Here is a 14835-nt window from a genome sequence, read left to right as displayed (position 1 = left end):
GTGCAAGGGGTTCAGTGATGCTGACTGTCTGGCATTTTTGCTCCAGATCTTCTAACTCCCCTTCTCAAAAGTGAATAACACATACTTAGTGACAGTGACAGTCAAACGTTTCTGATAATTGTGTCTTCTAAAGTAGCACCAGTTCAAAGGAAGTAACAGTAATTGAGCAACTTCACTTATCAAATGATGGTATGTCAATTAGAGGCTTAAAAGTGTCAAATCTGAATCTTCAGTGTTTTGCTGTAATTCACATTATGCTGTTTACTATAGAGTCTAGGATTTAGCTTTATTTAGTATCATTTGAAGAGAAACAAGCGCATTATTTTATTTAATAATTAACATGATTATTTTGAAGTTGATTGACCTGTATAATTTCCTGTTCCTTCTTTCTTCAATGATGAAATAGCATTTACTACGTAGTTTATATTGAACCCTCTACACAGGGTATTTTAAAGATTCTGATGTCTAATGTTCTTGGATCTAAAAATTGTAATAAAACAGTGGTGCTTTTGCTATGCCTTCCAATAATCATCACTGGCCTCCTGGACTCTTACAATTATCAAGACAAAGGCTGAGAAAAATAGTGAAAACCCCTGCCATTATTTTCAATGGCATCCCAGAACAGGCACTGGTTTGTTAGGCCACCTCTATGGAGTAGGATTTACTTACTCATTTTGCTTCTTGACTTTGGAGATGTAACTGTAACTCTGGATTTACAAAGAAAACTTAGGCATATTTGAAAGTAACTGAAGTGACACTAGAGAATGAGAACCATGAACAAAATCCTATTCATTTGTCTCAAAAGAAGAATAACTATAACAACAGGATAAAGAACATAATAAAAACAGGTACTACTTGCTGTCCACTTACCAGAGTATGGGCTTTCAAATAACTGCATGTAATTTTCACAGCATGTGAAGTAAGCGCTACTGAGACACAGGATGGTTAGTTTCCTGTTTCCAGGATCAAATAGAAAGCACCAGAGCCAGGATCTGAGCCAACTCTCTCTGCTCAGTGCACTCAGTCCACCACACTACAATACCTCCACTTCAGGATACTTGTATATGATGAACAATAATATCTTGTAACTAATATTTTTGTTTGTTTTCTGGCTGGGCTCAATTTGTGTCTTTGTTTTAGCTGGCCCTGGTCTAGAATAATCTTCAGTATGTCTTAAACCATCCTTGTCTTGTGCTGTCTTTCATGGGGCTATACCCACCTCTAGATCCAGGCCCTTATTACTAATCACAAAAAAGAAAAAAAAGATCAGGCCATTGGTATACGGTAGCTTTAAATCTACATTATAAATATACTGCTCACTAACCTGTCGAAAGGATGCAGCTCTTCTGTGATTTCTTTTTGTTATCTGCTGGTCTCTAGTATTGATAATTTACCACCCTGGGAGTGACTTCCTTTTGGGTTTTCAGATCTTGAAGCTCTGTTTCTGAGCTCTCTGCATGCTGTCTTTGTGTTCTTCATGATCGGCATTCTGCCTGCCTAGCGGGCTGGGGAGGCTTTTTTGATGGAACAGGAACTCCTAGGTTGGGTCAGAGCTGAAAGCGAATGATTGCCATTGCTCCCCTTGAGAAATGCAGTTAAAATCCTTTTCTGGGTATAGCAGCTCTTGTTTCTGTACTTGAATCATTTTATGTCCACTGGTTGTATGAGGTATACAATGAATGCTGATTTTTTAAAAATTATGAACAATCCAAACTGATTGTCTACAATTTTTCAATGAAAAGTCCCTCTTTGACTAAATCTTTCTGCGTTTTCCCTCATATTTAACAAAAAATTAAAAACTAAAAGCCCTTAAGTTTATAATGAAAATATATATCTAAGACATCATCAGAATAATCGAGATTAAATAGAAGCTGCTACAGTGTATTATATTTTACATTTCTGAAAGTCAGATCTCCTGAAAGGCATTTTTCATACATTTAATCAGATGTTTTACCCATCATAATTCAATTTAACAAATATTTTGGACTATCTGCTATCTTCTTTGTTCTGAGTTGAAAACTGGTATATGTCAAATCAGTATAAAATCATTTCCCCACTCAAGAAATTTATAATCAAATTAGAATATACTAACATACAGGTGTAAGTATGTGTGTTTAAGTATGAAACAATCAGATAAAAATCAGGACAATATATGTTTTTGTTAAATTAGCGTATCTAGACAATAAGTACAATAGGAATTCACAATATTGATATCACTTAAGATAGTTTCTTCAAGGTACTAGCCATTTTTCTAAGTTTTTCATCTCAGCGGTGAGGCTTGACTCAGTTTGGAAAAAAAAATCCTCAACAAAACAATTTTAAACTTATGGCTCTTAGGTATTTGCTATTATTGCTTTTCTTTCCATGTAATAAAGGGGCAATGTGTACCTGTATCCTCTTCTTACTCTGGAGTTACTGAGCCACTTTTTTTTTTTCCTGCAGTGTCTTCGTGCCAGTTGCATCTCATTTCTTATTTTGTTTTTCCTGACTGCATTCCACAAGGTTGACCTAAAGTCAAGTTATTTGGTTTCCTGGGAAAAATAGTATCTTTCTTACCCTTGTCACTTGGTTCTCCAGCTTCAGGTTTAAATTTTAATTGACTAATATTTGTATAGTTCCATTATGTTCCCATTTAAGGATAGCATTAGGTACCAGTATCTCTTTTCTTCAGAATATTTTTTACACATAATAATTCTAGATTTATAAGTTGCCAACATTAGTGTAATATATTTCTTGAGAAAAGACGTGGGGAAAGTTGACACAAATCTGCAAATATAATATTCAGAATGTGGACTATAATAAAAACTGAAACTGCATCCTTAGCTGAAAATTATTACTTTTGTGACAAAGTCACAGAACTCCATCTCATGCTATATTTAATGCTTTTGTGAAGAGTAAACTTTGGGGAAAAAAGAATCTGAAAGTGCACCTAGCTGGAATAATGAAAAAGGAGCATCGTATATCATGAATCAATATAAGTTTATGTTTGAGGAAAGCAAAATGACCAGCACGGACAATGAAATGTTTCAAGCACTATAAAATGTATTGAGTTCCAGAAACCAGACAATTTTGTGTAAAATGCTCTCCAGATTCATTTCCCCATGATAATAAACAGTAGAAAAAATGTGCCAAAATAAAGAAAAAATGTTTTGAGAAGCATATTAAATCAGAGAAATGATACTGTCATAATTGATTTTATAAAGACACTCAGAAAAGTAAACTTGATATATCTAGCATCAAGCTTAAAATGGCACATCCAGCTATCAGTGGTCAATGAGAAACAACTGAAAAACTGCCTCACGAAGTTTGGAAAAAGATCCCCAAATGAAACTCCTAAAAATAAACCCTGCAATCACACTGGCATATGTGATCAGTATGAGATTTCATATTGTGCACCCCTGTTTACTCTGAGAATGTGCTTCTTAATGGTTCATGTATACATCATGGCTCTGCTCAAAGTCACTCCTGCAAGAAGCCCAGAGGCTTCTATCTGGAGGCTTGATCTTTTAATCTAATTTAGATTTTTTTGTCTTGACATTTTTAACTCATATATTGATATTTTTTATTTTCTTTCCCGGAAGTCATTTTAAATCTTTGTAGAATAAGAGAAGTATTTATGAATACATTTAAACATACACAAATACACATTTTAATCAACCTGAGGAGGGTGATATGTGGACTATTGCTTTATAGTCTAAATGGTCAGAGAGATAGATGTACACCATTCAAGTTTTGCTTTATCTAGTAAAATAACTTTCTAATTGAGAATTACAAGTACAAAAACAACAAATAATTACACATGAAGTATTCATTTAGAATATTATTCGAAATAAAAAACAGATTAACAGACTATTATAAATAAGTCTATGATTTAAGGTAATAATACTAAGATTAGGTTAAATGATTTATTTGCATCTTTTGCCTTTGTTTGGGAGGTGGCTCCTCCAAATATTAGTTTTGTGATGTTAGGCAGTTTATTTAATGTAAGCCTCATTTTTTCTTATCTGAAAAATTGGGAAATTAATTATACCTACCTCATAGGATTGTTTTGAGGATTAAATAAGTTAATACTTTTAAAGGTTGGAACAGTAAGCAAATATAGACATACCTCATTTTTGCTTTATTGAGCTTCACAGATACTGCTTTTTATTTTTTTAATTGAAGGTTTGTAGCAACCCTGCATTGAGCAAGTCTATTGGCACAATTTTTCTAACAGCGTGCACTCACTTCATGTCCCTGTATCACATTTTGGTAATTCTTGCAATATTTCAATTTCATTATTATCATGTATTTTATGGTGATTTGTGATCAGTGATTTTCTTCTATTCTGTGGGTTGTTTTTTCACTTTGTTGATAGTGTTCTTCGAAGCACAAATGTTTTAAATCTTAATGAGGTGCAAATTATCTATTTTTCATTTGCTATTTAGGTTTTGCTGTTATACCTAGGAGTCTATTGTGAAACCTGAGGTCATAAAGATTTACTTTTATGTCTTCTAAGAGTTTTACAGTTTAGCTCCTGTAATTAGGTCTTTGATCTAATTTGAGTTAATTTTTATATATGGTATGAGTTAGGGGTCTAACTTATTATTTTCCATGTTGCTATCCAGTTGTGTCAGCACCATTTGTTGAAAAAACTGTTCTTTTGCCCAGTGAATTGTCTTGGTAGCCTTGTGAAAAAAAATCAATAAATGTGAGGATTTATTTCTGGACTCTAAATTCCATTGCTTATTCTTATATCAACACCATTTTATCTTGATTACTATAGTTTAGTAGTAATCCTTCTAGTACTCCCATTATGTATGTGTTGATGACTTAATATCTCATACTTTTCTGAAGCTGTTTTCATTTCTTCTTTTTTCCTTGAATTGCATAATTTTTATCAATCTATCTTCAAGGTTTCTAATTCTTTCTTCCGCCAGTTCAAATATACTATTGAGCCTCTCTCATAAATTTTTCATTTCAGTTGTGTTTTTCAACTCCAGGATTCTGACTTCCCCCCTCCCCTCTTCCTCTTCCTCCTCCTTCCTAGTAATTGTTACATCTTTATTGACATTCTTTATTTGATGTGACCTTGTGATTACACATTTCTTTACTTGTTTAATTGTGGTTTCTTTTAGTTCTTTGAAGTTATTCACAATGGCTTCTTTTAAGACTTTATCTGTTAAACTTAACATCTGGTTCCTCTCAACAGGCAGTTTCTTTTGCCTGATTTTTTCCCAGTGTGTAGGTCACGTTTTCCTGTTTCTTTGCATGTCTCATATTTTTTTTTTTTTGCTGAATCTGGACATTTTATATAATATAGCAACTCAGCACTGGTCACCCCCTTATGGGGCTTGTTATTGTTCTTTTGTTTCTTTTTTTTAAATTTAACTGACTGACTGTATTACTATAGTGGCATCTATTCTTCCCATGCAGTCCAAAGCCTTTCATGTTGCTCTTCAGGCTTGGGTGTGGTCATAGCCACTCTGGGATGACAGTAATTTTGGTAGTTGATTCATGTTTTCAACAATGCCCTGGGTATAAACTGTGTCACAGACTTACCCAATCAAATTTGATCACCTTTAAAGGGATAGTTTCTGAATTCAATGTTTGAAGGTTGTTGCTGTTGTTGTTATTGTTTGTCACAAGAGGGCTCCTCCCAGCTGTCTCTTTCCTTGGTTCTCTTAGGCAAACTAGCTAGCTGACAGCGTAGCCTGTATGTACAATGCGTCTGCCAGTCTCCTCCCAGTTGCCTTTCACCACAACTTCCACTGTTTCTTAGGGTGCTTTTAGGCCTGAATTTTTCCACACTCTCTTGATAATGAAGACAGTTTTTTTGTTGATGGGAAAGAGGCTAGGGGATATGTGTTTTTCTGCCTGCTCTCTCCCCTTAGGTAAAATCTCTGGAGTCGGGGGACAATGGTGTGCTTCTCTTTGAGTCACACTCTCACTTTAGGAGCTGAGCACTCATTGGAGGCAGACAGAGGTCTCAAGTCTTCTTGGTTTGCCTCTCCCTGTGTATGAACTCTACCTCTGAACCAGGGTAAGGGTGATTAGTGGCTCAGTATTTTCAGTGGCATCTAACACAATATAGAGCCTCTCTCCTATAAGTAGGGACTGGACAGAAGAAGGGAGCATGCACCTCTTGGCTATACTCACCTTGAACTTCAAATGAACAACAGGTAGCTGGGGAAATGATGAGAAACGCTGACACCCTGCCTTTCCTGCGAACAGAGCCCTCTGACTGGGAGCTGGGTAGGAGAGAAAACTCTGTGTTCTCAGCTGTCCCAGCCTGGAGAGAAGTTTCCATCTCACAGAGCTCGGGGGAGGAGAGGGCGGAAAGAAAGGGAAGAATAGGTCTTGGTTGAAATAACCGCGGGCTCTTGCTGTTCTTACCACATTTTAGTAGATTTTATTGAACAAATATTTCTTCATTTGATGTATGCCCTTAGGATCCTTTCCAGAGACTTTAAATGGTTGCTCTTTTTCCATAAATTTTTTTTTTTTTTTACCAATTTTTCTAGCATTAGGGAGGGGGGACTCCATGGAGCTTCTTAGGCTGTCATGCCAGAAACAGAACCCATGTATTTACTTTTACATGATATAATAAATACATGTGATAGAAATGATATTATAAACACATGTGGAATGAAACAACACATGTTCACCTATCTCTATGTGCTGTTTGTTTATACGATTCCCCTACATTCCCATCCCTCAGAGGGACCAAGTATTTTTTTCCTTTTTATTTTATTTTAATTGACAAATAGTAATTGTATACATTCATGAGGTATAGTGTGATGTTTTGATATGTGTATACATTATGGAATGATTAAATCAGGATAACTAACATGTCTATCTCTCAAATACTTTTTTTTGTGTGTGTGAGCATTTAAAATCTGCTCTCTTAGGAATTTTGAAATACACATTACATTATTGTTAATTATAGTCATCATGCTGTGCAATAGATTTTAAAAACACATTCTTCTGTCTAACTGACATCAAAGGGAACAAGTTTTGACATTTTATGTTTATTATTTCCTTTACCTTAAAATTATTTTATCAAATAATTATTCATGTGTAAAATATATATTTAATATTAATTATTTTTGAAATTACATGAAGACTTGCTTCAATGTAGCCTTCTTAGACATAATTTTTTACTCATACTATCAAGATTTTTCTACATTGCACTATGTGGCTGTAATTAATTCATTTTTACTTTTACATAGCATTTCATAGGGTGAATTGATCATATTTACAAGTGTATTCTCCTTTTGATGGGTACTGGGTTGTTCTCAGTTTTTCTTTTCAATCAGTGTTTAGCCCACTTTATTATGACCTTCATCTCTAGCATTTGACTGAAATTGGTGACAGTAAGTCATTAATTATTTCTATGTTGCCAAATCAAACAGAAACTTTTAAGTTGCTGGGAGCTGAAGGCCGGTTACATTAAGTTCTCATCTTACAAGTCTACACATTACTATTCATCTAAGTTGGCCTCTTTCTCCTTGAAAAAAATCTCATTTTCTTGACTTCCATGACACTTGTCTTCTGGCTTATCTTCTGCCTCTGATGGCTTTTTTATAACCTCTCTCGTCCTTTCCATCGTCTTTACATGGCCTCTAAATGATATTCCTGAGGGCCTGATCCTGGGAATTCTTCTCTCATTTGACTTTCACTGATTTAAGGTGGAAAAGTATCACCTTGAGGTACTTATTAAAATACAGATTCTAGGTTCCTGGCCCCAAGAGATTCTAATATAGTAGGTATTGGATTAAACACAAGAGTTTGCACTTTTAATGAGTACCCATCGCTGAGTGAATTTAGGTAGTTCTTTTAGGTAGTTCTCAGAATTTATTCTGCTGCCTCTTGTCCTGCAAAAAATTCTTTGCTTTGCTCAATTTGTGAAGTCTTTTAGCAGTTTTACAAAATGTTTATTTTTTGCAGAAATCACTGGCATGAATAACACACTTAGAAACTCCTGCATTTAAAATTGCATTTAAACAAAGCATAATAGCTGTCAAACAGACTATACTCTTTTCTATACCTTGGCAATAGTACCAACAGAGGGGCTGGCTGTGTGGCAGATCCATCCTGGTAACCACCAGGAGTGATGGAATATCTTTTATAGTCAGTGATGCTGGTCAGGCTAAACAACTCTTTGAAGCAAAGGGGACTCAAGAACCATAGCCACCTAATAAGGAAAAGTTGATTGATTAAAAAGGATTCCCCTGGTATTTATAGGTTTGGGCAGTGTGGTGTTGATGTGCAAGATGGTGCTAATAGATAGGCAGGGGTCAACAAATTAGGATCTATAGGCCATTTTAAGCATGTTTGTCTTTATGTAGCTTGGTATAAGATGCCACTGGAGAGTTTAAACATAAGGTGGAGGCAGAAGGTCCCATGATTTTAGATATACATTGGAAAAGATCGCTCTGGTTGCATGTGTGAATAAAATAAGTATGGGGTTTAATTCTGCTTATTGGTTTAAGGAGAATAATTATGAGGTTATTGTTGAAATCAGGTAGGGATGTATGTATCTGGAATCAGAGTAGTAGCATTCGAGGTGGAATTTGATTCCAGAGATAATTATTATTTACCATCAACTGGGCTTGTAATTAGACTGGATATAGTAAACGATGGAAAAATATATTTGAGGTGCTTTCAGGTTCCTGACTAATACCGTTAGATGAATAGAGGCGCTATTGACTGAGGAGTGGAAAGATATCAGAAGAAGGCCTGTTGGACCTCTGATCTTATCAACAGTGGTGTTGTTAGAGCTGAAAGATAATGACCTACATAGACAAGTCCTGTCTGGTGGTTTTCCTCTTTTAGTGGAAGGACAATGAGGAATGTTTCCTGTATAGTTCATGTTTATTCATTTCTCTTATCACTAACAGTTATTGCCACATGGAGGAAAACATAGCGCTGATAGTTGCTAGCTCCTGAAGGGATAGTGCCTTGGCTCTCTCTGGTTTCAAGTCCAAACATCCAGGGAATGAATTCATTGGCTTGACTTCCTCAGATGGCTATATCAGCAGTGTCTTTGGGAACCATGAATGGAACTGAGCGGAAAGAATGGAGGGATTGTGGGCATATTCCGCAGTAGGAGTCTACGATATGCTTGTTGAGAAGAGAGGAAAAAACATTTCCCTCTCCACAGGCCAATGCTAGTTTATTGATGTTTGCCTAATCTTGTTTCAGGTGGGACACAAGCACCCACAGTCCTTGCCTTAGCACCGTAAAGTACTGTAAAGTGCTCACATTGTGCGCTGAAATCTGGAATGAATTGTGCTTTCTGAATTAAGGCATAAATATTTTATTTTTCTACATTATGATTTCCCTTCTGTAGGGCTCCACTTCCATAAAGTTGACAAAAAAAGAAAGTTGGGTATAGTAAACATGGTAAAATGCCATCTTGTCACACCAAGCAATGCTCAGTTTGTTCTATAAGTATATGGATTTTATGTACTTAACAATTACAAGAAACCCCCAGTACTTCAGTCCCTTGTTCCATCGTTCTGTGGCCTCCCTCACTCCATCCTCTCAAATCATATTCATTTTACTTCAGGAAATGTTAAATGATTTCTTTGAGCCAGAACTGATTCACTTGGGTAATCATTCTACCATTCCACTGGGGTTAAATGAGTATAAAGATTATGATGATTCCCAAGAAGGAAAAAGAAAAAATAAATTGGTTGTGACTAAGAAGGAAAAAATTGAAACACAATTGCTGGACTAAAGACAGCTTAGGCAAAGGGGAAAAGCCAATTATCCTATGTTGAAAGATTATAGGCAATAATTTTAAAAGCTTTTCTATTTGCATAATCATTTTGCATCAGTGCAGGATTGCTTATCTCTCTTTACATGCTCATATTGATAAATTGTAAATTTTAGTTCCTATAATAGTGATGCACATAAAATATTCTCTTTTCTTCAAGTAAACACACGATTTTATGACTTTTTAAAAGGCTTATATCATTTTTTACTTTGGTTTTTAATTACTACATTGCTCATTTTTCTGTTGCACTTTGTTTTCTTGGGGAAAATCAACGTGCTGTTTGTTATACAGTAACACTGAAAATAAAGAGATTTAAAAATATCTTGTGGTTTAGAAAAAAAAGAGCAGTAGAAGGCTCACATTTTTTATGTTTCAACAACTTTGAGATTTTTCTAAATCATAGCAATTCTGTGGCTTGCACTTGTAATCCCAGTGATTCTGGAGGCTGAGTTGGGAAAGATTGCTTGAGCCCAGGAATCCGAGGCTGCAGCAATGTATGATCATGGCACCACACTCCAGCCTAGGCAACAGAGAAAGACCACATCTCATATATATAAAACATATATACTCTGTGTGTGTGTGTGTGTGTGTGTGTGTGTGTGTGTGTGTGTATGTATGTGTGTGTGTATATATATATAACATATATCAAACATATATATAACATATATAGAACATTAAAAATTACAGCAACTTCTAATTAAACATATATAATAGATATAATAACAGCTGAATAACAGAAAAAAGGAAAATCATTAGCTAGGATTATTTTGCTACTCTCATTTTATCATGGAGTATAATATAAATCTTTTCAAATGCCAGATTTAAATAAGATAAGCCATATTGCATGTGTTTTTTATCACTCTCCCATTTTTCATTCACTGTAGTTGTAGGGACATTTTGAGTCAACGTATTCTTAAAACTTTTTGAAATTATCCCTTGAGTTAGAAGCAATTTTTGAATAAGGAGGAACTTATGGACAGTTCCCTTATGTATCTTTCATAGATACTGGGAAGAGAATGATAGTGGGGAGAGTGATTCAATACTTATTTTTCTCACTGTTGATACTTTAATTCTCTCATTCATTCATCAACATTTGTTGTGCAGGTATTATGTCTCAAGGACTGAGGAAACAGCAAAGAAATGCAATCATTGCTCTTAAGGAACCCCAGCTAGTGTGAAAGAAAGAGCTACAAACCAGTTATTATACAGTGATTAATGCCATGTGGTGGGATGGAAGTACAGAGCAGCAATCTGTGGGCATTCTGGAGGATAAGGAGACCACAGTCAGCAGGAGTAGCTTGGGAGAAATGTCACTTGAACTCAACATTGAGGGATGAGTTGCTGTCCTAGTGAAATGTTAGGCGAAATCACATGTGCACAGGTGTGGAAAAGCTAAGCTCGATGGGGATAATGAGGGTGGCTTTCCATGGCTAGAATTTTGAATGCTTTTGATGCGTGTTTAAGTGAAGCTGGAGAGGAATGCAACAGCCAGAGAGTATTCTGAAGGTGACAGGAAGCAGTCTATCTGTCTTACCCATAAAACACCATTATTAACCTTTTCTTAATTTTGGGCAACTTTCTCCAAAGCAATTATCTACCTTGAAAGTCATTATAATTCAGATTTGTACAGCTTTGAATTTTCCTGATTAAGGATCAGTTCTCCATTTTACTTTGTAATGTGCAGGCTAGGCCCAAGTTTCATAACTATTTCTTTAAGTTGATAAGCCAAATACAATTCCTTTTCTTTGGTCTTAAATACCAGTGAGTGCTATTGTGAATTGATGAATCCCTGTTATTTGTGAAATTACCTCTATTGTTACCGTCTGAGAAATTACTAACAGATACACATCACGAAACACCAGGCACTTCGGCTCATTTAACTGCTTTCATTGCTATTTTATTCTTTCCCCCCATGATTACTGTCATTTTTATTTTTTTAGCTCTGTGTTAAATCACCGTCTAATTATGCATCATCACAGCAACTCATAACAGTTCAGCATCTCTTGCTCCTAAATTCTAAAAGCAACTCTTGAGTCTGGCACACAATGAAAGTATTGTCCTTTTTATTGACCTTGCTTTACCATATGGGTGCTGGAACTTTTCAGTTCCATGATTGTGGGGGGAATCTGCAAAGAGAAAACGGTGCAGAAAAGTTCACTGGTCACTTGGGTAAGGTGAGGGATAAGGAGCAAAGCAGAAGACCATCTCCCAGTTGTTGCACTGCTAAATTCAAATGACTTGACTTGTTTTCTAGTTTCTAAGCACCCTTCTAATAAAAAGGTGTTGACAACTGATGGGAAGCTGGAAGTTGAATCTTGAGTTTTTGATCAAATATGATCATTTAGGTCAAAACGCTTAGTATAGTTTCAAGTCAGTTAATTTCTGTTTCCTTACTTGTCACACGAGTAGAATCCCATTTTCCTGTCTCAAAAATTATTGCTTAGTCCTCATAGTTAGAGGCAGACTTTTCAACATGAGTTTCACAAAATGTTGCCTTTTCATGTAGTAATGATTGGAATTTGAGTTTTAGAAATTGCCCTATTGCTACTAACTAGAAATTTTCAGGTGGTAAATTTAGGGAGTGATGCAGAAAGAATATTAGTTTTGATCCTGGTGAATTTCCATGTAGAATGTGGTATCTAAGTGGAGTGGGACATGCAGGTGAGCCATTACCCTAGGGTCCCCAGTGTATTCCAGGGGCTCCACGAGCTCCTCTTTCACTTTTTATATGTTTTTATTTTGATGCCTCTATAAAAATAGTGAAGAATTTCAATACATTCATTTATAATCATAATCTCTTTTGGGATCATCACCTGTTCCCATTTATTAGCATTGCCAGGGAAAAGTGGTACATTTTTATTTTTATTTAATGAATAACCAGCTGCTTAAACAGATGTTTCATAAATTTAGAAGGTGCCCTGAACTTCATCAGTGAAAGACACCAAAATGCTATCTGCAGGTGTAACAACTGACAGAAGTACTTGGCTTTCTTGACCAGTAAATTTTTTGAAATAAGTAAATTCCAAATTACTCAACTCCCCAAATCAATAATCAATATATAATGACAGATTATAAAGGCACATCTGGTTTCCCTTTGTATTTTATCTAGAGGACCATTATTCAAAAATGGAAGGCTATAATGTGTTAGTGCTTCTATAGACCAACTTAATATATAACACATCAGTGTTAAGTATTTCAAGATGAAGAGCTAGAGGCTCAGAGATTTATCCAACTAGAAATAGCAGAGTCAAGATTCAAACTCAGGTCTCTCTGACTTCTAAGCATATGTTCGTTTCATTCCCACTGGTTTTTGTCAGCCAGGCATAGTTCCATGCAAATTTTCTTATTCTTAACATATTCTTTCATAATTATCTAAAGAGATATGTTGTTCAAGGGATTGAGAGAGGCTGTGTTAATAATCTCAGGGTACTGACATTGATTAGAAAGAAAGAACTAGAATTTGTGTAGAGGTAATAGAGACAAAGAGGATTTTTGATGTCATGTATTCTTAGGAAGGTAATATCCAGTCAGAACACATTAGGGCCTGGGATCACTTTTCTGTGAAGGAAAGGGAATCTGAGATATGCTGATTGGGGTGACCAGGTAATATCAGGGGTTTCTGTCGTTTCCATAATGATTTTTATGGATTTAAAACATCCCCCCTCTTTGAGAAGAGTTCCCTATGCTAAAGGTTAGTCATTACTTTTAATGCCCAAGTCTTCCAAGTTACTCTGCATCTCTGAAGCAGTCACTAGGCTGCAATGTGTGAGATGAGAACATAGTTTACAATTTAATTTTAGAAACATCACCATCTGATTCCCAGTCAGCTTCATACTGACACTTGTTTTATTCAAGCAGTCACGAGTGTTTTGCTTTGTGAGAAGGGAAGCTTTTGTTGATGTTTCCTATATTCTAATTCATGCTATTCTCTTGAAATTAGTTAGAAAAGAAACAAAACATGGTTTTCAACTGTTTCCTTCAATTAGCTTTTTTTTCTATCAAAGCAGTTACTTTTCTGATGTTGTCCTGATTATTGCATGGAACCAGGTAACTCTGTTTTCCCATTTGCCCCTCTTGCATATTTACCACCTCTTGCCAAGTACCTACTCATTCAATATTCCTCTGATCATCCATCCATCCATCCATCCATCCATCCATCCATCGATCCTCCACCCATCCATCCACCCATTCATCTATCTATTCATCCACCCACCCATTCACCCACCTATCTATCCGTCCCTCCATTAATTCATACAGCATTTATTAATTTCATCATAATGCATTCACTCATCATTCCCCATTTGACTCTCACTTCCCTTTTGGTCATTATATTTATACTTTATTGAAATATTTTTTGAAAATACCAATAATTAAAATGGCTATGTTTTTCATGTGTGTATATTAATATTTCTTTTATTGCAATACTAAAGAGGCTATTGTAGAAAACTTATAACATATAAGCATGTATATACCCTGATAATGTCATTGTAAATAAATGCACAATCATAAAAGGCAATTTGGTAATGTCATTTAAAATTTAAATTGTACATACTTTATGACCCAGTGAGTCCACTACCAGTAATTCATTCTAGAGGCACGTTACACATACAGGCAACCACATACGAATAAAAATGGAAATAGATACATCATTAAACTACAGATAAGCTAGATATTCACCAATAGAAGCCTGCTGAAAATAGCTATTTATATTCTTTTTCCTTTAAAAGACTATTTTCAAACTCTGTTTAAATCTTTCTTTACTGTTTCCCCTTCAATATTAGTTTTGTGGTTAATTAAAATTGACAGAAAATAATGACTTCTCCTATTTGATAGTTGATTTGCCTATTTCCAAAAAAGACACTTTTCTGCTCATTCTTAGCACAAATTCATATATTCGTTTAACAAATATTGTATTAAGTCCTTACTATGTGGCAGCAACACTTGAGGTGCCTGCAGAGAAAAATTCCTTCCTTCATGGAGCTTACACTGTAGAGAAAGGATACATAAAATTTGCAATACACATAATAAATAAGCAAACTTCATAGAAGGCAATAAGTGGCTTGAAAAAAAAA

At 35.3% G+C, this 14835-nt stretch overlaps 2 annotated features.

The window, feature by feature from the left end:
* Positions 598–1222: an enhancer, noted in NCBI's record as "OCT4-NANOG hESC enhancer chr2:36498327-36498951 (GRCh37/hg19 assembly coordinates)". NCBI's record gives its function as "activates a minimal SCP1, AML or CMV promoter by ChIP-STARR-seq in primed H9 embryonic stem cells {active_cell/tissue: H9 hESC(primed)}" and the evidence as "EXISTENCE:reporter gene assay evidence [ECO:0000049][PMID:30033119]".
* Positions 1223–1848: an enhancer, noted in NCBI's record as "OCT4-NANOG hESC enhancer chr2:36497701-36498326 (GRCh37/hg19 assembly coordinates)". NCBI's record gives its function as "activates a minimal SCP1, AML or CMV promoter by ChIP-STARR-seq in naive and primed H9 embryonic stem cells {active_cell/tissue: H9 hESC(naive and primed)}" and the evidence as "EXISTENCE:reporter gene assay evidence [ECO:0000049][PMID:30033119]".

This window comes from Homo sapiens, chromosome 2 (genome assembly GCF_000001405.40).
Source record: "Homo sapiens chromosome 2, GRCh38.p14 Primary Assembly".
In the NCBI taxonomy this organism is placed as follows: Eukaryota; Metazoa; Chordata; class Mammalia; order Primates; family Hominidae; genus Homo; species Homo sapiens.
This window is presented reverse-complemented; position numbering and strand designations above follow the sequence as displayed.